The sequence below is a fragment of the Homo sapiens genome, chromosome 3, assembly GCF_000001405.40.
Source record: "Homo sapiens chromosome 3, GRCh38.p14 Primary Assembly".
Lineage (NCBI taxonomy): Eukaryota > Metazoa > Chordata > Mammalia > Primates > Hominidae > Homo > Homo sapiens.
In genome coordinates, this window is record NC_000003.12 from 30354831 (window position 1) to 30381565 (window position 26735).

Genomic DNA, 26735 nt, shown 5'->3' on the forward strand with positions numbered 1-26735 from the left:
GGGTTCCAGGAGGCCTCCACTGCAGTTATTGAGGTAGTCAGTTGGCCTTTCAGCAGCAGATCTACTTTCTGAGAACCAATTGTTCTTTCAGCACTTCAAAAAGGAGGTTTTGCTTGGGAGTCTTTAAGCACTTGGAGATAGGAAGCTGGAGTTTAATTTTTTTATGTGCTTTATGAGCAGCGAGGACTGAGAGGGATTCGCTTTAACTTGACTAGGCGTGGGGAGGGGTCTCTTTGAAACAGCCACTTGACAGCAGCCGTGTATACGATTAAATGTTCTCAGTAGAGAATCCCAAGGAACAATGGTTTTGAATGTAGTTACATATGAGGCAGCACGGTGTGGTGGAACACACAATAAACGCTAAATGCTCTTTGATTACTTTCCATCATTCTTGGCCATGCTCCAAGTGAAATGTGAATCTTTATTTGCACAGCTCTGTTCTAAAGGTTCATGAGAGCTGTGTGTAGGTCTTGGTGAACTGGAGTAAGATTTATTTCATCTGGTATCCTTTAAAACACTGAAAGCATTTTATCTTATTATAAGAATTTCACAAAGATATGATGGTAAGGGAGAGCACTTGATGGTATTGAAGACGTTTATCAATTATTTCTAGCAAACAAATCCTATCTTCAGTCATTTGCCAGTGTCTTAGGTGTAACTGGATAAGTCTGGGCCACCCTGGGCTTTAGTGTTGCTATTTCTAAAATGACAAGGAAGGACAAGCTGCCCCTTCATAAATTTCTGCATGCTAGAAGAATGCCTGGTATAGAGCAAGCACTCACCTATTAAATTTAATGTATTACTTGGACCTGAACTTAATCCAGCTCTAAAGGTTTATAAGTGGACATTTATTTGTGTCCGGAATAACTGAGGTGAAGCTAGATTGTTCCTTTCATTGATCATGGTGCATGGCTGGCATTACTCAACTCTTCTTTTCTGCTTCTCTGACTTCCTTATCCTTTGTGGTCTACTGTAGTTCCAGCTCACTAGGCTTCTGACCCATACCAGATGCAGAACTTCAGACAAGGCTACAATCTTAAGCCCAAAGAAAGTGTTTTAAGGAAAACATTCCCTGATGTTTTATAAAGAACCTGTACACATTCCACACCCTGCTGAGCAGAGCTTTTGTTGCACAAAGTGCTGGCAGCAAGGATGATCCTGAGAGGAGATTTGAAGTAGTGTCTCTCTCCTAGCAGCAATGTGCCTAGGAGAGGTAGGAACAAGGACTTCAAGGGCACTTCCAGGGAGAATGGTTACATAAAAACCTCAAAGTCTTTACGTCAGATTCATATTTTGCACCAAGGTGCAGGCTCTGATACTTTAAGAAAAAAAATTATGCGTAGTCAAAATTACCTAACAAAATATCCCAATTTCTGAATAGCTTTCAGTATCTTTCTAAGATAGCTCCATCTCTGACCTCCCTTTTTCCCCAGCATTAAAAAAATCATGCTTTCTTTAGCTGAGTACCAGAAAAGAGATTGTCAGCTTGCATTTATGGGCCATGTTATATATAAATATGTATATTATTTTAAAAATTAGAATCATAATTAGTACATCAAAATGTTCACACTATGGGAAATATGCTCACCCTAAAGCTTATACTTATTCACTGGAATGACAGGAGAAAACTAAGTTGACTTTCTCATTTGCTTTTTCTTTGCTGACCTCTAATAGCTGGGTTTTTGCGTTAAATGTTCACATTATGGAACTTCACTGTACCTACAGTAAACCCAATGTCCAACCTAACCAGGTCAGAACAACGAGCCAAATGGAAGGGACTGTGCCCAGTGGAGCTCTTTAGACCCTGAGACGAGGCAGAACCTCACAGTACAGCAGGTTCCAAGTCTCAGAGAAAGAAGAGTGTTCAGACAAGAGACAATCAGTCAGCATCTGGCTTGGGCATATGGCTCAAGGGGGTACAGATATCCACCTCAGAGAGTCCTGGCACTGGGTGTTTGATACTGTGACACTAGGTCTATATTTGAGCAGGAGGGTCACCAACCCCAGAGGACATTGTATACTAGAGCTAGGCAGGCCCCTGTGGGTTAACAGAACATCTTTAAATGAATTAGAATGAGGCAGTCCTTTGGCAGACACAGTCCTGCTACAAGGGGGCACAGCTTGGTAGCAGCATGTGGGTTGGATTCCTGCCTCCACTTGCCCACTTGGCCCAGTGCCTTTATAGAATGCTCAAACTGTACAGCACTACACAGAGGGCCTGACAAGATCAGCACAGAACGGGGAGTAATGGTCAAAGCCTGTTTTAATTTTCCTACTTGGCAAAGCTGGATTGGTCTTAGAGCTTGGGTCATCTGGGCACGTGGGGGCTGTAGAACTCTAAGCCAGCCAGCCAGGCTTCTCATGTGTGATGGGCTCGAGAACAATCCTTTAATCCCACCAAAAATCCCTGCAACAAGAAACACTGATTCTCCTTTTATTTAATTAAAGGACTGTTTTCTCATGAGTATTCTGCCTGATTTATGAATACCTATTGTTCAAAATGTAATTGCATATTCAGCACTGCTCAATGGAACGGGGACCGTTTGAGCTTATACTGTTTGCTTTACATTTTTAAAATCCTTTGTTTAGATGTGTATGATTCATTTCATTACGATGCACAAAATCAAGGCATTCCAGAAGGCATTCTATGGATACCCATAATTTTTAATCTTTGTCAAGATGTGCCAAGCCAGCCAGAACACAGCAAGGCTGACACAAAAGCCTTGAAATTTGAACAGACACTCAGGCAGTTGCCTTATGACTAAGTGAGGATGGGTCTCCAATTGCCCACAGCCTTCAGACATTTACCCAAAGAGAAGCAGATCTATTTTGAATGAATAGATCAGCACTGATTCATACCTTCAAACATTATTACACAATAGCAAACAGATACCTAAAAAAAAAATCTTGATGTCTTCCAGATACTCAGATATGTTTTAGAGTAAATTTTGCTGGTTTGCGAGAAAATTCTGCAGACAATGTCATGGGACCAGATCATTTCATTGGCTTTCACTAGGGCATTGGGAAGTGAATCTGTGAAATGCAGACATGGGTGAGTTCAAATAAAAGTTGTAGAGTCATAGCTTAATATTCAATATCACTCCATCTTCTTATCCTAACTCCGACATGATTTCTAATACTGTCCCTCGTTAAATCCCTAATACCCTGACATTTCAGCCAAAAGGAACTACTTACTCATTCTCCCCCACATGTAACCAGGGTGTCCCACACCCATGCTTTTGCCCATGTTATTTTCTTCTGCTCCATCTCAGTTCCCAAGGCAACTAGAGTGACAAAAATACCCAGGAGGCTAAGACTTAATTTACAATTGTAACACTACATTTAATAGTCATGAAGTAAGAATATTGGCCACACCTTAGCAACAACATAATCCTTTTATGTTGAGAGAGCCACAACATTCTTTTATTTTCTCTCAGCCAGTCATCCATAAATATTTATATAATACCTATTATATGCTAGGCACTGTTCTAGATACTGGAGACATAACAGTAAACAAAACCTAAAACCTCTTTATTCATAAAGGGTCCTAAATATCTCTTATTGTTTTACTGTGATAAGTACATCTGGTTTCCCATTTAACAGTAAAAAACACATAAAAATATGCAATTAACCTGAAATTACTCAATTAACACCCAGAAACTATTTGTAGTTGCCCTTTTGTTCACTATGTCTTTTTTAGAGGAGGAAATTTGTAGAATATTGTTCAAAGTTCTAATGCAATAGTTAACATTGCTTCCCATTGTCTGTAGGATAAACAGTTGCATTATTTTTAATTTAAAAACATGTTTTGATTTAAAAACTGAGTTTTTGAATATTTTTATCTATTCTTTTTCAAAATAAGGTCTTCTTGTTTGTTTTTTATTATAGCAGACATACAGAAAGTTACAGAAAACATAACTGTGCAGTTCAACGAACTATACAATGAATTTTTCAAAGCAAACACTCGCGTTACTACGACTCAGATCTAGAAAGACAATATTACCCAAACCTCCAGAAGTCCTGCTAGTATCTTTACCAGTCAAAGTACCTCAAAGTTACCCATGATCTAACTTTTTTTTTGGAGATTTAAGAGTTTTTTAAAATTAGCTCTATGAAATTGCTGAAGTTATAAATCAATTACTTTTTACTTGATGAATTTGGTAACTCTTTTGACAGACAGGAATCATGCCATTGACATTGCTCATAATATTAAACAAATGTAAGTCCATAAAATTCGTCATCTCCCCAGCATCTACTAGGTGTATGTTTTAGGTACAGGGATACGGCACATACTGCCTTACCAGACTTCTTTGTTATAATTATGAACCATATCAGTGATTCTCAACTCGAGCTAAATTTGCCACCCATGCCCCAGAGGACATATGCCAATGAACCATGATCTAATTTCTAACACAGTTAAATTGTACTTGGTTTTGAACTTTATATAAATGAAATTTTAAAATCTGTATTCTTCCATGTCTGGCTTCTTTTTTTCACTCAACATTATGTCTGTGAGATTTGTCTGTATTGTGGTGTGTACAATGAATATACTATAATTGATTTCTTTATTCTACTATTAATAAAATTTTCTGGTTCACCATAACAGTGATCATATAAAATTTCTCCTTTCAAATTCAATATCTACATACCGACCAGTTTTTATTGTTCTATTTACATTCTGATTTCCTGATTACTTCAATTAAAAAGATAAGTCTTTTGACTTGGATCTGTATTGCATGCCTTTGTACTTATAAAAGTATGCTCTGTGTGTGTGTGTGTGTGTGTGTGTGTGTGTGTGTGTGTGTGTGTGTTGTATTTTAACTACCCTAGATAAGGTACTTTACCAACCATCTTCTCTAAATGTAGTAAATTCTTCATCATATCATCAAATGCTTCTCAAAAGTCTCTTTACATGCCACATGTAAATAGTTCAGATTGATTAGAAATATGTTTCCACATGAAAGGGTGGTTATTTGTGGATATTTGTGGTTTCCAAATATCGTCTATTCTTGTCCACCCTTCAACAGACCTCCTGATTTTGTTGAGGCTGATCGCTAATCTTACATGTGTTTTGTCTTTTCATAATATTACCACCTATGGATGAGCTTTTGTTCAATGTCTTTTTACCAGATCAGCACTCAACAGAAGACAAAAAATGTCAACCTCCACAGGTTAATAATCAAACACATGATGGCTCTTAACCAGCCGTGCTTACCAAAGGCCACCAAAAGTGGATTTATAGTATCTGTTAATAAAGAAGTTGGTCATTACTTCATGCTGTCTTCCTTATAATAAAGCACCCCAAGGAGAAATCCCTATCAGAGCTTTGCTCCTAAACCAGCTGTACTTCTCCTGAAAAATTTGTCTGTTTTTATCTTAAGGAGGTATAATGTTCAAATATGGATTTCAGAACACTCAAAGGCAAAATTGTGACCCATGCTGACTTCTGTGGTTTTCATCTCATCCCTTCTACCCTTAAACCTAATCTTGTTTTTTACTCTTCTTTTGCTTATTTTTAACCTTCAATATTGTTGCGGCATTGTTACCTGAAATAATGTCCAGAATAAGGCAGAATGTAAAGAGGCTGAGAGGTGAGTTCCCCCTCTAGTACTGGTTTGGTTATTGAGTGTTCTTTCAATTCAGAAACACCATTATTTTAATCAGGATCCCCAAGTGAGGGTGGAGAAGTCATATTTTATTTGCCAAATTTATCATGGCTATTTGAATTTAAAAGACACTATAATTGGTTCTCAAATTTATCTCTTTTTTTTTGCTTAAAAATTATATTTTCTTCTTTTAGGGATAATTTCAATAATTTGGCAGACAATTACTGAAAAGTATTTTTCCTTTAACATTTATAGCTATCATTCCATATTATTTTTTGATACATAAAGACATCTAAGATATTCTATTTTATAACATAAGAAATATTGGAGCTTACATTTGTATTGCCTTGAATAAAAAATAAAGTATCTATAGAAGGATTCAAAAGTCACTAATAACAAGGGTTACCTGTTTGTGGGTTGGCAACTGGATAAATGGAGAAAAGATAAAGGAGAAATATTTAGCTGAATTCCTTTTTAAAATTTTTTGGATTTTGACACAGATTAATATATTTGAAATTCAAAAAGTTAAATGAAAAAATCACACTTAGAAAGTCCTCGAAATGATAGCACCTCTATCCCAACAAAACAAATTATCATACATTGTATTTTTATATAGAACTATTTTATCTTATATAATGACAAATAATGAGAGTTGAAAAATCAAGCAGGTGAATTTATGTCAACATGCCACAAATTTAAAAATAGAGTAATCAAATATATGTTATTTTATTACAGTCTTGGAAAATCCTCAAAAGTTTGTTGAAGGGAACAAACTTTTGCTGCTGGCCATGAAGGAGTAAATGGAACTGGACTTGTTTGTACACCATAAAAACTAGAAAACTAAACAAAAAATACACGAAACAATTTTCAAACATTGGGCAACAGGGCAAAGGAGGACATGTTTGAGAGGTAATAAAAAATTACCAGGCATAACGTAATGGAGTACTATGCAGCTGTCACTTTTTTTTTTAATGAGAAAGACTGCTTTGAACTTATACAGAATGTTTTCCAGGGCATGTTTCTAAGTAAAAAAATGTAAGGCCCAAAGAAATTGTCTATATTAGATGATACTTTATGTAAGAAAGAAATATAAAATAAAGTACTACTGTCTGCTCATTTGCCTAATCATGAATCTCCATTTTCTTCATTCCTGAAGAATGAAATCAGGAAAAATTAACTAGAAATTAAAGAGATTGGTTACCTACAGAGGTTTATTGGAAAGGCGTGAGAATGAGAGATAAGAATGAGGTAGCAGGGATGACAAGAGAGTGAAACTTTCTTGACTATGACTTCAATATAACTTATTCTTAGATCCATAGCAATGTTTCATATACCCTTCAACTACCCCAAATTAAGCAAATAATTAAAAGCAATTAAACATGAGGGTAACCCAAAATAGAATACAAACACTAGCAAATGAACCTAACTGTATTACGAGTAAATAACATCATCACACTGAAGTGTATGTGAGAAAAAAGAATTATCTGAAGTTTTTGGAAAACTGTATTTTGCCAGGATTATTTTGCCAGGATATTGCAAGGCTGAAGACAAAATAATTGTACATAAAAACCGTAATCTAGTAATTTTTAAAAACAGTAATGTTTAGCAATTCTGAAACTACTTATGTTTATACTAGACTTGAACAAAAAAATAGATTGTAGATAATGAGAACCAAGGTTTCTTAATGTTAGCAAAATAATTTATAAAGAAGGAAAAGGGGAAGCCTAAAATAAACACCACATGGTATTAGATTAGTATCAGAGTTAACAATGTCAACTCATGGTTTTTAATATACATACTCATATCAAAATATAGATATGAGTATATTAGTGGGTTACTATGTATACATAAAATACCCAGCTCTGTCTTCTTTGAGGATCAGAGCAATGACATCCCAATAACAATGAGAGTATATAAAATCCAGATTCTTGTCTCTAAACGTTTATTCAAATAAAAGGTATGAGAGCTCCTGGGAGAAGTGATTAATTTCAGGGTCGGGGAAGGGCAAATATAAAATGATCCAGGAACATTATGTGATGCCAGAAAGTAAGAAATGCTCAAGATGATAAGGGACAGTGAAATCTTGATGAAAGAACATAGGAGCCCTTCTGAAGGAGCTCTCAATGGCTAAAAGTAGACAAATTTTAGCAACAAAATTTGATTTTAACCCATATATAAATATTCATGAGTTCATCCTGATATGGATAAATAACAGAATAAATAAATAAATATGGGAGAAAAGACAGTTCTTTCTTACAGCTGAATTCAAATTAATACATGTAGAATAACAGAAAGAATCATCATTATGGAAACACCATGTAGATACATTATGCAGACAAGGCAACATTAGTTAGTGAAAATTTGGGGAGAAACAAGATATGCGTAGTCTCATAGTACCTTCACCAAGAGACTTATTAATTACAAAGGCAAATGTAAGAACTTGCTGAAGAGAAGTCTGACAGACAAAAACATAACTCATGTAATCAATGGAATAAGACCTTTGTCATCATGAACCACTGTATAGGAAGGACACATTATCATTTTTGTGGTGTCTTGACAATAATCTGTAGCATAGCTCCAGTGATGAGAAAGCATTAGACAAACCCAAATTGAGGGACATAGTTTAAAATAATTGATTGGCACTCTTCAAAAGAGTCTTGGTCATGAAAGACAAGAAGACTGAGAAAATATTACAGATTGGAGGAAAATTTAAAAGTAGGTGTAAAGTGGGATCCTGGGTAGGATCCAGAAAAAGAAAAAAAGAAGATGTAAGTAAAAACATTAGTGATTTTCAAATAAGACCTGTACTTTAGTTAATAGTATTATTCTATTCTTGATTATTGTACTATGGTTACAGTAAATGCTAAAATAAAGAAAGAATGGGCAAAGAGTATAAGGAAAACATTTGTAGTATGTCTAAAACTTTTCTGTAAATCTAAAATTATTTCAAAACAAAAATTTAACCTTGTAAAAATAAAAATTACCAACTATGCAAAGAGGTAGAAAATTGCAACTCATAATTGAGAGAAAACAAGTTAATTAAAATCAACTAATAATTGCCAAAGATGGTAGAATTATTGGAAAAAGATGCTAAAACAATCATTACAACTGTTCTCCAGATGTTAGAAAGTTGAGCAGGGACATGTAAGATATTGAGAGAAGAGAGACAGACCCTCTCATATTGTTTTATACTCAGAAAAGGAAAGAGAAGCAAAACTAAAGGCAGATAGCCCGGCGCCTAGGAACCAGACCCGAAACCTAGGAACCAGACCCGAAACCAGGCCTAGGCCTGCCTGACCTAAGCCTAGTAGTTAAAGATTGACCCCTGACCTAACCGGTTATGTTATCTATAGGTTCCAGACATTATATGGAAAGGCATTGCAAAAATCCCTGTCCTGTTGTTTCATTCTCATTACCGGTGCATGCAGCCCCCAGTCACATATCCTCTGCTTGCTCAATCAATCACGACCCTCTCACGTGGACCCCCTTAGAGTTGTGAGCCCTTAAAAGGGAAAGGACTTGCTCACTCGGGGAGCTTGGCTCTTGAGACAGGGGGCTTGCCGATGCTCCTGGCCGAATAAACCCCTTCCTTCTTTAACTCAGTGTCTGAGGAGTTTTGTCTGCGGCTCGTACTGCTACAGTAAGAGAAGTCTGAAATTGAACCTCTAAGATGAAAATTTTAATGTATGATATGAATAATACTCTGGATAGAATTAATGGCAATCAGATACTGCAAAGGAAAATATCAGTGAACTTGAAGACATAGCAACAGAAACTGTTCAAAATGAAACACAGAGAAGAAAGGGAACAACTTATAATTGCAGCCCTCATAATAGTCTTTATGGACATAGTTAACAAAATATGTTCAAAATGTGTTCACCGAAAACTATAAAACACTTCTGAGAAAAATTGAAGATTTGCTTAATTCAATAGAAATAGATTCCAATTTCATGGATTGAAAAACTCAGTGTTATTTAAGTTTAGTTCTCTAAGAATTGTTCTACACATTTAACACAATTCAAATTAAAATCACAGTAAGTTTTTTTCCGGTAAAACTTGACAAGCTGATTTTAAAATGTATTGAAAATTTGTTTGAGTTCATTGTAGATTCTGGATACTAGCCCTTTGTCAGATGAGTAGGTTGCGAAAATTTTCTCCCATTTTGTGGGTTGCCTGTTCACTCTGATGGTAGTTTCTTTTGCTGTGCAGAAGCTCTTTAGTTTAATTAGATCCCATTTGTCAATTTTAGCTTTTGTTGCCATTGCTTTTGGTGTTTTAGACATGAAGTCCTTGCCCATGCCTATGTCCTGAATGGTAATGCCTAGGTTTTCTTCTAGGGTTTTTATGGTTTTAGGTCTAACATTTAAGTCTTTAATCCATCTTGAATTGATTTTTGTATAAGGTGTAAGGAAGGGATCCAGTTTCAGCTTTCTACATGTGGCTAGCCAGTTTTCCCAGCACCATTTATTAAATAGGGAATCCTTTCCCCATTGCTTGTTTTTCTCAGGTTTGTCAAAGATCAGATAGTTGTAGATATGCGGCATTATTTCTGAGGGCTCTGTTCTGTTCCATTGATCTATATCTCTGTTTTGGTACCAGTACCATGCTGTTTTGGTTACTGTAGCCTTGTAGTATAGTTTGAAGTCAGGTAGTGTGATGCCTCCGGCTTTGTTCTTTTGGCTTAGGATTGACTTGGCAATGCGGGCTCTTTTTTGGTTCCATATGAACTTTAAAGTAGTTTTCTCCAATTCTGTGAAGAAAGTCATTGGTAGCTTGATGGGGATGGCATTGAATCTGTAAATTACCTTGGGTAGTATGGCCATTTTCACGATATTGAGTCTTCCTACCCATGAGCATGGAATATTCTTCCATTTGTTTGTATCCTCTTTTATTTCCTTGCGAAGGACATGAACAGACACTTCTCAAAAGAAGACATTTATGCAGCCAAAAAACACATGAAAAAATGCTCACCATCACTGGCCATCAGAGAAATGCAAATCAAAACCACAATGAGATACCAACTCACATCAGTTAGAATGGCAATCATTAAAAAGTCAGGAAACAACAGGTGCTGGAGAGGATGTGGAGAAATAGGAACACTTTTACATTGTTGGTGGGACTGTAAACTAGTTCAACCCTTGTGGAAGTCAGTGTGGCGATTCCTCAGGAATCTAGAACTAGAAATACCATTTGACCCAGCCATCCCATTACTGGATATATACCCAAAGGACTATAAATCATGCTGCTATAAAGACACATGCACAAGTATGTTTATTGTGGCACTAATTCACAATAGCAAAGACTTGGAACCAACCCAAATGTCCAACAATGATAGACTGGATTAAGAAAATGTGGCACATATATACCATGGAATACTATGCAGCCATAAAAAATGATGAGTTCATGTCCTTTGTAGGGACATGGATGAAACTGGAAATCATCATTCTCAGTAAACTATCGCAAGGACAAAAAACCAAACACCGCATATTCTCACTCATAGGTGGGAATTGAACAATGAGAACACATGGACACAGGAAGGGGAACATCACACTCTGGGGACTGCTGTGGGGTGGGGGAAGGGGGGAGGGATAGCATTGGGAGATACACCTAATGCTAGATGACGAGTTAGTGGGTGCAGCGCACCAGCATGGCACATGTATACATATGTAACTAACCTGCACATCGTGCACATGTACCGTAAAACTTAAAGTATAATAATAATTAAAAAATAAATAAAAATAAAAAATAAAAAAATAAAATGTATTGAAAATGCAAAGGTCCTTTGTCAAAACAATCTTGAAAAAACTTTAAAAAAATCTTTGTGAAGATGCACAAAGCATGGAATATAAAAAAATAATAAATGATAATTTGGACTTTGTAAAAATGAAGAACTTTTGGACTTCAAAAGATAATTAAAATGCAAGCTTAGATCTGGGAAAAATAGTCACAATATTTATATCTGTCATATTTCTGACAAAGATATTTTATGTAGACTAAGAAAGTTTTCTTTTTTAAAAGCACTTTATTTTTTAGAGCAGTTTTAGTTTTACAGCAAAATCCAGAGGAAGGGAAAGAGATTTCCCATTTACCCCTTGTCCCCACAAATACATTGCCTCCCCTTTATTATCATCCCTCGCCAGAGTGATATAATTGTTACGACTGATGAACCCACACTGGCATATCATTGGCACTCAAAGCCAGTAGTTTACGTTAGAGTTCACTCTTGTTGTATATTCTATGGATTTTGCCAGACAAATAATGACACATATCCATCATTACACATATAGAGTATTCTCATGGCCCTAAAAATCCTCTGTGCTCTGCTTATTTATCCCCTCTACCCTAAACCCCTGGCAACCACTGAACTTTTACTGTCTCCATAGTTTTGCCTTTTCCAGAATGTCATATGGTTGTAATCATACAATATGTAGCCTTTTCAGATTGGTTTCTTTCACCTAGTAATAAGCATTTAATTTTCTTCCATGTCTTTTCATGACTTGATAGCTCATTTTCTTTAAGTACTGAATAATATTTTATTGTCTGAATGTACCACAGTTTTTATTTATCCATTCACCTACTGAAGGACATCTTGGCTGCTTTAAGTTTGAGCAATTATGGTGGGAGCTGGGAGAAGCTGCTACAAATATTCATATGCAGGTTTTTGGGTGGCCATAAGTTTTTAACTCCTTTGAATAAATATCAAGGAGCATGATTGTTGGATTGTATGATATGTATAAATATGCTTAGTTTTATAAGGAACCACCAAACTGTCTTCCAAAGTGGCTATATGATTTTGCAATCCCATCAGCAACAGATGAGAATTCCTGTTGCTCCATATTCTCACTCATATTTGGTATAGTCTATGTTCCAGATTTTGGCCATTCTAATAGGTATGTAGTGATACCTTGTTTTCATTCATATTTTCCTGCTAACATATGATGTGCAGTCTCTTTGTACATGCTTCTTTGCCATTGGATATATTCTTTGTTGAGGTATCTATTAAGGCCTTTGGCCCATTTTAAAATTGGGTTGTTTTCTGCTGAGATTTAAGAGTTCTTTGTATATTTGAAATGACAGTTCTTTATCAGATATGTGCTTTGCAATTATTTTCTCTGAGTTTCTGGCTTGCATTCTCATTCTTTTGACATTGTCTTTCACAGAAGTTTTTAATTGTAATGAATTCCAGCTTATCGATTGTTTCTTTCATGGGTCATCTCTTTGTATCTAAAAGGGCATCACCATACCTAAGGTAATGTAGATTTTTCTCCCATGTTATCTTCCAGTAGTTTTATAGTTTTGTATTTTTAATTTAAGTCTATGATCCATTTGAGTTATTTTTGTGAAATGTGTAAGATCTACATCTAGATTTTTTTTTCATATACGTGCTCAGTTGTTCCAGCACCATTTGTTGAAAAGACTGCTTTCTTTGCTATATTTATTGCCTTTGCTCTTTTGTTAATAGATCAGTTGATTGTTTATGTAGGTCTATTTCTGGGCTTTATTTTCTGCTGCCACTAATCCACGATCCATTTGTCAGGTTGTTTTTTTCTGTTTTTGTTTTTGTTATTATTATTAATTTTTTTTCCAGTACCATTCTGTCCTTATTACTGTGGGTTTACAGTATGTCTTGAAGTTGAGTAGTATCAGTTCTTCAACTTTGTTCTTCTCCTTCAATATTTCATTGACTATTCTATATCTTTTTCCTCTTTGTATAAACTTTAGAATCAGTTTGTCTCTATCACAAAATAACTTGCTGGATTTTTTATTGGGATGATATTTAGTCTACAGATCAGGTTGGGAAGAACAGATATCTTGAAAATATTGACTCTTCCCAAAGATGGACATAAAATGACTCTTCACTTATTTTGTTCTTTGATTTATTTCATCAGAGTTTCTAAATTTTTTCTAGTATAGATTTTGTACATATATTGTCAGATTTATACATAAGAATTTATCTTTTTGGGGGGTGTTAATGTAAAGGGTACTATGCTTTTAATTGCAAGTTCCACTTGTTCATTACTAGAATATAGAAAACTGTTTAATTTTTGTATATTAACTTTGTGTCTTGCAAGTTTTCTATGATTGAGTATTAATTCAAGGAGATTTTGGTGATTCCTTTATATTTTCTACCTAGACAATCATGTTATCTAAAAGCAAAGTTTTATTTCTTTCTTCCCAATCAATACCCTTTTTATTTCTGTTTCTTGTTTTATTTTATTAGCTAGGACTTCCAATGCAATGTTGAAAAAGGAGTGGCAGAAAAGGACATTCTTGGCTTGTTTTTAATCTTAGTGTGAAAGCTTCTAGCTTCTCACCATTAAGTATAACATTAGTGGTACTTTTTTTGTAGATATTCTTTATCAGGCCAAGGAAGTTCCCATTACTTCCTAGTTTATTGAGTTTTTCTCATGAACGACTGTCGAATTCCATCAAATGTCTTTTTCTGCATCTGTTGACAAGATTATGTGACCTTTCTTTTTTAGCCTCTTGATGTAATGGATTACATTACTTGATGTTTAAATATTGAACCTGCCTTACAAGCCTGGGGTAAATCCCACTTTTACATGGTGTATAATTATTTTTGTCCATTGTTGGATTGAACTTGCTAGTACTTTGTTGAGGATTTTTGCATCTATGTTTATGGGAGATATTGGTCCAGCTTCCTGTAATGTCTTTGCCTGGTTTTGAATTTAGGGGAATGCTGGCCTCATTGAATGAGTCATCTCATTGAAGTACTCCATCTAGTTCTATCCTCTGAAAGATATTGCATAATTGCTATAATTTCTTCCTTAAGTGTTTGGTAGAATTCACCAAAGCCAGATGGAGTTGGCTACCTCCATTCCCCCAACTCAGTTAGGCTTGATAAAACTCCAACAGGTTACACTCTGGTTAATTAGCTTCTCCTGAGGGCAAGCATTGTTAAAAACAGAGTGCTGTGGCATACCCTGAAATGGTTCCTTTTTCCCTCTCCATGCCAGAAGCATAAGTGACTTTTTCTCTGATATTTACTGTAAAAACATGGTAAAACTCACAAAAGTGAGGGGGGCTAGCAATGACTGGGTGCTCTGAAGTTATTAACTCTCAGATTGGTCTACAATGAGCCTCCAGAAATTCATCAATTACAGTTCAGGTCTCCCTACCCTGGCACCAGCTCCCATTGTAGTTCCACTTATGAGTCTCTGCTCCAGGAAGTTGAGGCTCCTCTATTCACTTGTCTGCCTCTGTAATCTGGGGGGCAATGGCTTACCCTCTGTTTTCATTTTTCTTATGGATCTAAGAAGAGTTGCTGATTTTTCAGTCTGTTCATCTTTTTACTTGTTGTAAGGAGGGAGTAGCAATTTTCAAGCTCCTTACATGCAGAACCAGAAACCATAACTGTACAGGAGTGATTTTTCGATAAACAATCCAATGAAAACTGGGCAAAACATTTGAAAGACTTTTCAAAAAAAGAAATGTGAAGGATGATGTCTTTAATGCATTTTAGTATATGTAAATTATACCCCAATAAAGTTTATTTAAGATACATAGGAAACATATCAGAGGATTATGTTACTCTAAAACTTTCTGACCTAAACTGTAAAGTCAATCAATATACTATGAAATAATATAAAGATTTCGATGCTTTTTATATTTCATTAAAATGTAACATACAATATCTAGATCTCAAGTTGGGCTTCAGTTGGAGCTAGATTTCCCTGTGTTACAGTCCAGTTAGGAAAACAAGAGTTTATGTAATATTGTTCATTAGACGAAATTCAAAATTTGGAATATTAGCTGTTACTAACCCTAAGAAAGGACAAAAAGAAGAGACAGTGGTTGCAGAGCTAGACTGGAACTTGATCCATGGCTGGAGTTACCTGGCAACAGTTGGGACCATGGAGGAAATGCTACCCTGAGGAAGAATAGAGAGGGGAAGAAATTCTCTGGCTGCTTCTTCCATCTTCCACCCCTCAACCTCGTTCCAGTGTCTCCTGTTGGTTGAGCAGAGTCAGAAGCAGATGGCAGGGGAACCTGGGAAATCCAGGTGGTGGATCTGCCCTCTGTGGTACTGGGTAAAGAAGGGAATGACCAGGAAATCGATCTGAGGGTAAACAGGAAAACAAGCAGCCTACTTCCAACATGAGATGCTTCTTTTTACCCCAAGTGGTGAAGAGCCAGAGGAAAAACATGGGCTGTGTGGAAGATTTGAGGTTCTAAATCTTTGTTTTATCTTGACCTCCTTGAGCAAGATGAATGGGAACAAATCACTTTACTTCAAACACCTCCCAGAGGTGTTTTGTAAAACAATGAAAATATGCCAAGAACTTATCACAGAACCAGTGCCAGATGAACACCAAGTAATTCATATGCTTCAAACATTACCTTGAAGGGTCATTCCACTTTGAGTAGAAAATGAAGTAAACCACAAGTGAGAAGAGAACAAATATTTTAACATTTGAGCATTCGCTTTTGTGAAATTAAATAAAGCAGACTGATAGAACCACAGCCAAGGCATTTATCTTTTAGAAATGCTGAGGTATCCCTAAGCAAATAATCAGCCAGAAAAAGTAAACATTCATTTTCCTGCCATTCTGGGGTGTGATCCTGATTTCTTCAGTTCAGCATATTTATGAGCTGCCTTGCCCTCTTTCCTGCATTCTCCCAATTCTTCCGTCTTTGCAGGATGCTGTTCTTTCACACATGTTGTTTTTGCTTAATAAAGTAATAACCGACACAATCTGCCCTCTCTACAGAGTAATTATGTTAGCCTGTTGTTATTGATTTTGTTGCTAAGGTCTGAGAATCTGCTAATGTGCCACTGTGGGAGTGGTGGGAAGGTCGTAGGGGAAAGCGTGTTCTTATAATTTTCCCATAAACCAGATGTTTTCTTTAACTCTTACATCTTCAAAATATTTTCTCTTGAGAAAAAAAAAACAACAAGGACTAGAACGAGTTTAAGACACCAGCTCTTATTTTCTCAGCATACCACAAGCACATATAACTGAGTGTAAAGAATTTATTCTGTGGGCGCCTGTGTATCTGCTAATCATTTGATAAGCTACACGTATAATCAAGTAAAACCTGTTTCGTAAGTAAACTATATTCTTCCAATTTCCCAATGATTATGTTTCAATTACCATTGAAAACAATAAAACATTACCAAGGAAAGCATTACCACTGTAACATCATCCTGAATTTAGCAGGGTAAAACAATTTTTATTATCTCACAGATTTTATGGATCAAGAATCTGGAAAAGACTCAGCTGGGGCTGGCACCCAGGTTCAGCAGTTGTTACTCAGAATGTGTATATATGGCCTCCCTAGCAGGGCAGTTTCAGAGTCGTTAGATTTTCAGAGTGGTGGTGTCTCTCAGAGTGAGTATCCAAAGAAAATCAAGAGAATGTTGTGTGACTTTTATAGCTAGCTTCAGAAGTCATGTAACCTCATTTCCGCCATTCTCGGTTGCAGTGGTTCTCAACGAGGGGCAATTTTATTTTCCCATCTTCCCCCTTTGGGATGCATGGAACCACCCTCAAGAATGTTTGGCAGTATCTGAATACATTTTTAGTTTGTACAACTGAAGGTGGTGGGAGCTACTGGCATTTAGTAAGTCGAGCTCAATGATGCTGTTAAGTATTCTATAATGCACAATAAGAATTTTGTAGCCCAGTATGTCAATAGTGCTGAGGTTGAAAAACCCTGCTCCATTGGTTGAGGTAGTCATTGCCTGCCAGATTTAAGGGGAGGAAACATGGATTCTAATTCTGAAGGGAAAAGAGTCAGAAAAAATTGATGAACACTTAAAAACTGCCACGAAGTCCTGAATTTAACTTTTATCAAATTCAAACACCAAGTCTTCTATTAATTCAATTCCTAGGGGATACAATTATTTTTGTTTAATTTTTGATTTTTGTGGGTAGGTGTATATATTTATGAGGTATCTGAGATGTTTTGATACAGGCATGGAATGTGAAATAAGCACATCATGGACAATGGGGTATCCACCCCCTCAAGCATTTATCCTTTGAGTTACAAACAATCCAATTACACTCTTTAAGTTATTTAAAAAAGTTATTGACTATTGTGCTATCAAAGATTAGGTCTATTCATTCTTTCTAACTATTTTGTGTACCTTTTAAAATTGAGGTTCAAAAGGAAGTTGTAATGGTTTCAAAACAATTGAGATCAGGGATCTCTAAATGGGGCTTTGAGGCACCGGGAAACATACCCTTACCCTAACCTGCAAATGGGACTCTGAGAATGTAAATGCTTAGGTCAAGTTACCAACTAAATAACAAAGGCTAAGCCCAGATATCAGTTCTATAATTTGAGGTGCCCCCACCATTATTTTCTCTTGATCCTCAAGTTTCTTACTCTTTTTACTCATTTCAATATTGTCCAGCTGTAGATGAATTCTATTTTTAGAAGTTAGTGTGGTTACATTTAAACCTAATTTTCAAACTGACTTGCTTGAGATCCAAAGCACATTTTTAAGCGTCAGAGCTCTAGGAACAGAAAATAGCATCCCTGGGATGACAGGAAGGATGCCCTGTGCCTGGAGGAGGTCTCTCTCCAGGATTCAGCACACCGTGGAGCTGTGGGAAGTGTGTTATCTCTGTCATGAGAGAGAAAGGAGTGGCTGGCTCAGCAAGATTAGAGCCTCTCTCTGGATTGTTCCTCAGAACCAGAAGAACTGTGTGGAGTGGCAGCAACTGGAGGAAGCAGAATGTCCCCGAGCAAGGTGACTGGTTTTACTTAATGGAAAACTGAATGTTAAAGTAGCTAATAACACTAACTGCTTTCTTTTTAGTTGTTCTCATTTATTCTTTTCTAAAAATCTGTATTTCCATTCCTTTATTTTTTCTAACAGTCTCCTACTGTTCTCAAATACAACGTCTATTTTCTCCTTATCGCATGTCTTTAGTTGATGAAAGAGGGTAATACCCTGGCTTCATGCTCATATTTATCAAGCATTTCTGGAGCAGCTCCTACATTCCAAACTCTAAATTGAGTGTTGAAAGGTGGGACAGTGAACAAAACAGACCCAAACTTGATGGCAGAACCCATGGACTAGCCTGCCCCACAGGGTCTGGTGGAAGATATGCTCCACTGAACTGACAAAAATACACAACTATATGACTTACAAATGAGCAAACAACCTATCCATGCTTGGAGAGTCCAGAAGCCTTCCTGGAGTTGGTGACATCGAAGTGGAGAGTGACAGATGAAAATGGCGTGAAGCAAACAAGGGAAGGGTTTTCCAAGCCAAGAAAGCAGAGTGAATGAAGTCAGGTTCAACCATGTTGGCTTTTTTGTTTATTATTGTCTACCTGCTTGTGTATGGCTTTAAGATGGTAGATACAAATTCTTAAATCTTTGTACAAAAGGGGCAAGGAAGTTGGAATGAGCCGTTGGGTATTAGCTGTGTAAATCTCTATTTTTCCTTCTGCATGTGGCCACATGCTACTTCAATGTTATGTTCTTTTCTCATTTTTTTGCACTATTTACACACAGAAAAAAATCATTTTGGCCAACAATGTTTATTTAAGATCAACTTGATACTCACTGATGCTCTAATATGTGCCTTTAACAAAAGCCTCCTGAAGCAAAACTCACGCAGTAAACCGTCTTTGTTATCTATCACTTCTAGATCCAAGAAGTGTCATCAGTGCATCAAAGCCAGGAAGCAGATAGAAAATCAGGTTTAGAAATCCAAGATCAAGACAGTGACAGGTCAAGTTCAGGAGAGGTGGAGGAGTCAGAGAGCAGGAGCATAATTAGAGCATAATTGAAACCCAAGGTGACCTCTGCCTTAAACAGGATTTGAGGACAGCCCCTGTAATTGGATTCAGGGGTCTACACAACTCTAAGTTTACGAGAAACCTCATAGAGTGAACCTTGGGAATACAGGAACCCCAACATATATTCACTCATGTGTGCACCCCCCAAAAAGCACAAGAATATTTACAGGAACACTATAAAATCCCCATATGGGAAACAGTAGAATGGGTAAATTGTGGGTTTTTTACACAGTGAAATACAATTCTGCAATGTGAATAGACTTACAACACAACTACATTTGAAAATGACACTGAATCTTACAAATATAATGATATGGGGAGGGAACCACACATAAAAGGCACATATTTTTATGAATTGTGCCTTTTGGTCTCATTTTTATGAAGTTTAAGAACAAGCAAAAGTAATTTAGGGTATTAGAAGTTCTGACAGCTGTTTCCCTTGTACAGGGCAAATGGGTAGTGTCTGGAGGGAACACAGGAGTGGCAGGGATTCTGGAGTGCGAATAATCTGGTTTTTGATCTGGGTGCTGTTTATAACAGTATGTTCAACTTGTGGAAATGCAATAAGTAATACACTTAATTTTGTACTTTTGTATATAATGCTATACTTTAGTTAAGGTTTGGGGAGAAAATAGGAATATAGATAGACCTCTGGGATGACTGGGGATGTTGAAAAATACACTTTGAAAATTGTTTGAAAAATACTGACCTAAAAATTCATCAAACTGTGTTCAGCAACTTTAAATGACTGCGAAGAAAATTTGGGTAACCTGTTGAGAAGAATCAGGACTCTGAGCTTTCATTAGCTGAACTCTGTTTAACTCCACTTAGAGCCTACATGCCCACTCAAGTTTTTCAGGGGATAAGTCCTTGTTGCTTGCTACAACTACTTACTAGTCACCATCATTTGGCTGATCATTTGCATCTCACATAGATAACTTTTTTTTTCCTGAGGAATGGTTCGTCACATCTGTGGATAGCAACAAATCATACATGAACAAATTTTACTTTATGTTAATTGTAAGAGACAGTTTTACTGGATTCTGTGAAATAAACCAGTATATGGGTTTAACTGTCTAACTACTTATATAAACATTTCATCATCTAGGTACGTATCTGTCCCTCTTCTAACATTTATTAAAAATGTTTAAGTTCCCTGTTAATGAGCACTGAGTTTTAATTTGTGCTCAAGATCACTTTGTCTAATAACATTTACCTTAGCGGGATATTACTGGTGTAATCAATTAAATATTTTCTAAATAATGGGAATTACAAGCACACAAACATCTACTGGGCAAGATGGGTGAAGAGTAAAGGCAGTAGTGAGAAACAAGTGTAAGCCAGTTAATTCAGTTTCAGCTTGTAAGTTTTCAGTGTTTAGATTTAAAACCAAAAAATCCAAAATCTGAATTACCTAATTTTCTGATTAAATTTAGAAAATTAAAATTGTCAATGAACTTAAAAATTTTTAACTTTGTATAAGCCTAACAAACCATATCTATAGGCAGGATTCAGTTCACACATTGTCAGTCTGAGCCTTCCACAAGCATGATTTTAATCACTCTTCACAAATGTCCTATGAGGTGGGCATTGTACAGAGAAGGAAACCGAGGCGCATAGAAAGTGTAGCGTATTGGTCAAGTTCACACAGCTAAGAAGAGCCAAGCTAGAGTAAAGTCCAAGTCTAATTATCAAAATTACTATTCATTTCCCCAATGAGAAAAAAGCCTCACTGCATATCACTATGCTGGGATTAACAATCAAATTATGGTTTTTTACTTACAGGTATGATGGGAAAAAAGATGGAGGAAATATTTGCATTATTTGCTAAGGAATTTTTTCTTTTGGAAATTGGCTTAAAATTCTGTACTACAGAGAGTATATACCACTCAGTATTGGATTCATCTTTCTTTTTCTGGCAATAATATTCATTATAAGACACAAGAAATAAACCAATCACCTTATCTTAGACTATCCAAAGACTACAAAGGGACTTGTCTTAAAATTACATGTGTGGATGGCAACAACTCATACATTTCCAAATTTTAGTTTATGTTAATTGTAAGAGTTGGTTTTACTGGATTTTGTGAAATAAACCAGTATTTGGGTTTAACTGTCTAACTACTTACATAAACATTTCATCATCTAGGTACATATCTGTGCCTCTCCTATCGTTTAGTAAAAATGTTTAAATTCCCTGTTAATGTCTTCTAATGGAATGGATCTATGGAGGGTGAGGATTCCACCTTTTTGGTTTTGATTGCAGCAAGCTTTTTGAATGTTTATCTTCAGTATATTTTTCCAGATAATTAATTAATTCAATTTCAGTGAGACCATCCATGCTTATATCTATTTTGTTGTAATCCTTTCTCTTTTTTGACAAACGAATAAAAAAAACTTATTAGGAGAACAAAAACATAGAATTGCTAGGAACTGTTCATGTATGTCCCAAACTGATATTAAAATAGATTTTGGCTTTGAAAAAATGTAAAACTATTTGTAAATACAAGTAAGCAGGGTTGATGGATTACATGTGAGAAGAAAAGATGGTCAATTTATTTCAAAATTATTTTTTAAGTTTTTATTTTCTCTCTAAATGGAAGGGAGTAAGCCACACCTGGGGTGTTTCACCTTCTGTATTGCAGAACCAGGACCAGGCTTTGATTGCCTCTAAATAACATGAGGGTTTGTTTTGTTTTGTTTAACATGAAATGCTCATTTGTGGCTGTAAATACTTCAGTTATAACTTTGCATTTGTTAGGCTATTTGGTTAACGCGTATAAAAAAGCAGGATATATATTAACATCATTATCCAGATGTTCAGTATACAGCAAATTGCATGGAATTGTGTTGACTGTGAATTAATTTTCAAATCTTACTAGCCAGTGAAATGTTGTTTAGTCCTTTCTTTTGGTTTACTTCTTATTCTGTTCAACTTTTCATAAGTACTTTCATAAAGACCTTGCCGCATACACTATTTTTCATCCCAGGATGATGCCTCAGGCCTTGACATCAAACCAAGAATGTTAATTATGTTCCTTTCAAACTGTTTACTGCATGTATTGGCTTAGACTTGAGCATAAACATATTTATTAAGAGTATGGCTTCACCTTTTATTCTAGACATTCTATAGTTTCATGGAATATCAGGCACTTAAAAGAGAAAAAAATAAGCACATCATGGAGAATGGGGTATCCATCCCTTCAAGCATTTATGCTTTGAGTTACAAACAGTCCAATTATATCCTTTAAGTTATTTAAAAATATACAATTAAGTTATTATTGATAATAACTTATAGCATAATATTATAGTCACCATATCATGCTATAAAATAGTATGTCTTATTCATTCTTTCTATTTTTTTTTGGTACCCATTAACCATCCCCACCTCCCCCTCAACCCCCAGCTACCCATCCCAGCCTCTGGTTACCATTTTTCTACTCTCTGTCTCCACAAGTTCAATTGTTTTAAATTTTAGCTCCCACAAATAAGTGAGAACGTGCAAAGTTTATCTTTCTGTGCCTGCCTTATTTCACCTAACATAATTATCTTCAGTTCTATCCATGTTGTTTCAAATGACAGGATCCCATTCTTTTTATGGCTGAATAGTAATCCATTACGTATGTGTACCACATTTTCTTTACCCATTCATCTGTTGATGGACACTTAGGTTGCTTCCAAATCTTGATTACTGTAAATAGTGCTGTGCTTATGGGGTATCACTCAAGAAATCTTTGCCCAGAACAATGTCCTGGAGATTTTCTCCCAAAGTTTTCTTGTAGTAGTTTCACAGATTGAAGACTTAGATTTAAGTCTTCAGTCAATTTTGATTTTATTTTTGTATATGGTGAGAGATAGGATCCAGTTTCATTATTCTGCATATGGCTATCCAGTTTTCCCAGCAACTGGGAAAGACTATCTTTATTGAAAAGACTATCTTTCCCTCAGTGTATGTTCTTGGCAACTTTGTGGAAAATGAGTTCACTATAGATATATGAATTTGTTTCTGGGTTCTCTATTCTGTTTCATTGGTCAATATGTCTGTTTTTATGCCAGTAACATGATGTTTTGGTTACTATTCTTCTGTAGTACAACTTGAAGTCAGGTAATGCGATTCCTCTAGTTTTATTCTTTCTCCTCAGGATAGCTTTGGCTATTCTGGGTCTTTTTTGGTTCCATATAAATTTTAGCATTGTTATTTCTATTTCTGTGAAGAATGCCATTGGTATTTTCATAGAGATTGCATTGAATCTGTAGATTTCTTTGGGTAGTATGGACATTTTAACAATATTCATTCTTTCAATTCATGAACATGGAATATTTTTCTCTTTTTTTCTGTGTCCTCTTCAATTTCTTTCATCAATGTTTTATAGTTGCCATTGTAGAGATTTTTCACTTCTTTGGTTAAGTTAATTCCTATGTATTTTATTTTATTTGTAACTATCATAAATGGGATTACTGTTCAGATTCTTTGCTGTTGGCATATAGAAATGCTATTGATTTTGTATGTTAATTTTGTATTCTATAACTTTTGAACTTAGGAATTCTAATAGTTTTCTTGTGGAGTCTGCAGGTTTTTCAAAATATAAGATCATATCATCTGCAAACAAAGATAATTTGAGTTCTTCCTTTCAAATTTGAATATTTTTTATTTCTTTCTCTCTCCTGATTGCTCTAGCTAGGACTTCCAATATTATGTTAAATAACAGTGGTGACAGTGAGAATCCCTGTCATACTCCAGATCTTAGAGGAAAGGCTTTCAGTTTTTCCTCATTAGTATGATACCAGCTATGGGTTTGTCATATATGACTTTTATTATGTTGAGGTATGTTCCTTCTATCCCCAGTTTTTTAAAGGCTTTTTACCATGAAGGGATGTTGAATTTTATCAAATGCTTTTTCGGTATCAACTGAAATGATCATATGTTTTTTGCCCTCCATTCTGTTGATACAATGTATCACATTGATTGATTTGTGTATGTTGAACCATTCTTGCATCCCTGGGTTAATCTCACTTGCCCATGGTGAATGATCTTTTTAATGTGCTGTTGAAGTCAGTTTGCTAGTATTTTGTTGAGGACTTTTTCATCAACATTAATCAGTGATATTGGCCTGTAGTTTTCTCCTTTTTTGATGTGTCTTTGTCACATTTTGGTATCAGGGTAATGTAGCCTCATAGAATGAGGTTGGAAGTATTCCGTCCTCATCTATTTTTTGAAATAGTTTGAGTAGGATTGGTATATATTTATTCTTTAAATGCTCAGTAGAATTCAGCAGAGAAGCCATAGGGTCCTGGGCTTTTCTTTACTTGGAGACTTTTTATGATGCTTCAATCTCATTACTTGTTATTGGTCTATTCAGGGTTTCAATTTCTTCATGGTTCAATCTTGGTAGGTTTTATATGTCTAGGAATTTGTCAATTTTTTCTAGATTTTCCAATGTATTGGCTTAAAGTAGCCAGTAATAATCCTTTGAATTTCTTTGGTATCAATTGTAATGTTTCCTTTTTCATCTCTAATTTTATTTATTTGAGTCTTCTCCCTTTTTTTCTTAGTTACTTAGGCTAGAAGTTTGTCAATTTTGCTTATCTTTTTTTAAAAAAACTTTGTTTTGTTGATATTTTATATTGTTTTCTTCATTTCAATTTCATTTGTCTTTATTATTTCTGTGATGTTTATTATTTCTTTTCTTCTAATTTGGGGTTTGGTTTGCTCTTACTTTTCTAATTCTTTAAGATGCATCATTAGGTTATTTATTCGAAGTTTTTCTTCTTTTTTGACATGGGTGCTTATAATTATAAACTTCCCTCTTAGTACTGCTTTTGCTGTATTCTACAGGTTTTGGAATCTTGTGTTTTCGCTATCATTTGTTTCAAAAAATTTTTCAATTTCCTTCTTAATTTCTTCATTGACCTACTGGTCATTCAGGAATATAATGTTTAATTTCCATATGTTTGTAATATAGTTTCCAAATTTCCTCTTGTTATTAATATCTAGTTTTATCCCATTGTGATCAGAGAAGATATTTGAAATTATTTTAATTTTTTTAATGTTTTAAGACTTTTTGGTGACTTAACATATAGTCTATCAGTGAGAATGGTCCATGTGCTGAGGAGAACAATGTATATTCTGCAGCTCCTGGATGAAACGTTCTGTAAATATCTATTTAGGTCCATTCGGTCTAAAGTGCAGATTAAGTCCAATGTTTCTTTGTCGATTTTCTGTCTAGAGATCAGTCCAACGCTGAAAGTGGGCTGTTGAAGTCTCCAGCTATTATTTTACTGGAGCCTATGTCTCTCTTTAGAAATAATAATATTTGCTTTATATATATGAGTGCTCCAGTATTGGGTGCATATATATTCACAATTGTTATATTGTCTTGCTGAACTGACCATTTTATCATTATATAACTATCTTCTTTGTCTCATCTTATAGTTTTGTCTTAAAATCTATTTTGTCTGATATAAGTGTCATTTCTCCTACTCTTTTTTGGTTTCCAATGGCATGAAATATCTTTTTCCATCCCTTTATTTTCAGTCTTTGTGTGTCTCTATAGGGTAAGTGTGTTTCTTGTAGAGAACAGATCAGTGGGTTTTGTTTTTTAATCCACTCAGCCACTCTATGTCTTTTTATTGAAGAGTTTATTCTATTTACATTCAATGTTGTTATTGATAAACAGTGACTTACTCCTGCCAATTTTTTATTTGTTTTCTGGTTGTTTTCTAGTCTTTTTTTCTTTCTTTCCTTCCTGTCTTCCTTTAAGTGGAGATTATTTTCTCTGGTAGTATGTTTTAATGTATTGCTTTATATTTTTGTGTAGCTTTTGTATTTTATTTGAGGTTATCATGACACTTGCGAATACTATCTTATAATTCGCTATTTTAAACTTATAATGACAACACTGATTGTATACACAAACAAGGAAGCAAAAGAAAACTAATAAAAGCCCGACATTTTAACTGTTCTCCACTTTTAACTTTTTATTGTTTCTATTTATATCTTACTATACTATCTCCGCCTTAAAAACTTGCTGTAGTTATTTTTGATTGGTTCATTTTTTAGTCTTTTTATTTAAGAACAGTTTTCACATCATACTTACAGAGTTAAAATATTCTATGTTTTTCTGTGTACTTAGTATTACTAGTAAATTTTGTACATTCAGATGATTTCTTATTACTCTTTAACATAATTTTTTTTCTGATTGAAGAGCTCCCTTTAGTATTTCTTTTTTTATGTGTTACCAAATTTTACTTTAAGTTCAGGGATACATGTGCAGGATGAGCAGGTTTGTTACCTAGGTAAACATGTGTCGTGGTGGTTTGTTACACAGATCATCCCATCATCTAGGTA

General features: G+C 35.3%; 1 long non-coding RNA gene across 6 annotated transcripts in view, besides 1 other annotated feature; it reads left to right on the forward strand.

Moving 5' to 3' along the window:
• The window catches only part of LOC101927995 (uncharacterized), a 119590-nt gene that overhangs the window by 5040 nt on the left and 87815 nt on the right, over nucleotides 1-26735 (forward strand). For 5 of the 6 annotated variants that reach the window (XR_001740628.2, XR_007095856.1, XR_001740627.2 and 2 more), the window contains exon 1: nucleotides 18267-18327. The exons of the other annotated variant lie outside the window; for it this stretch is intronic. This is a non-coding gene — a long non-coding RNA (uncharacterized LOC101927995). Of the gene's footprint in view, nucleotides 1-18266; nucleotides 18328-26735 lie in introns of those variants that run through there. 6 annotated transcript variants of the gene reach the window in all.
• Nucleotides 167-461: a silencer, noted in NCBI's record as "tiled region #15230; HepG2 Repressive non-DNase unmatched - State 7:EnhWF". NCBI's record gives its function as "represses a minimal TATA promoter and a strong SV40 promoter by Sharpr-MPRA in HepG2 cells {active_cell/tissue: HepG2}" and the evidence as "EXISTENCE:reporter gene assay evidence [ECO:0000049][PMID:27701403]".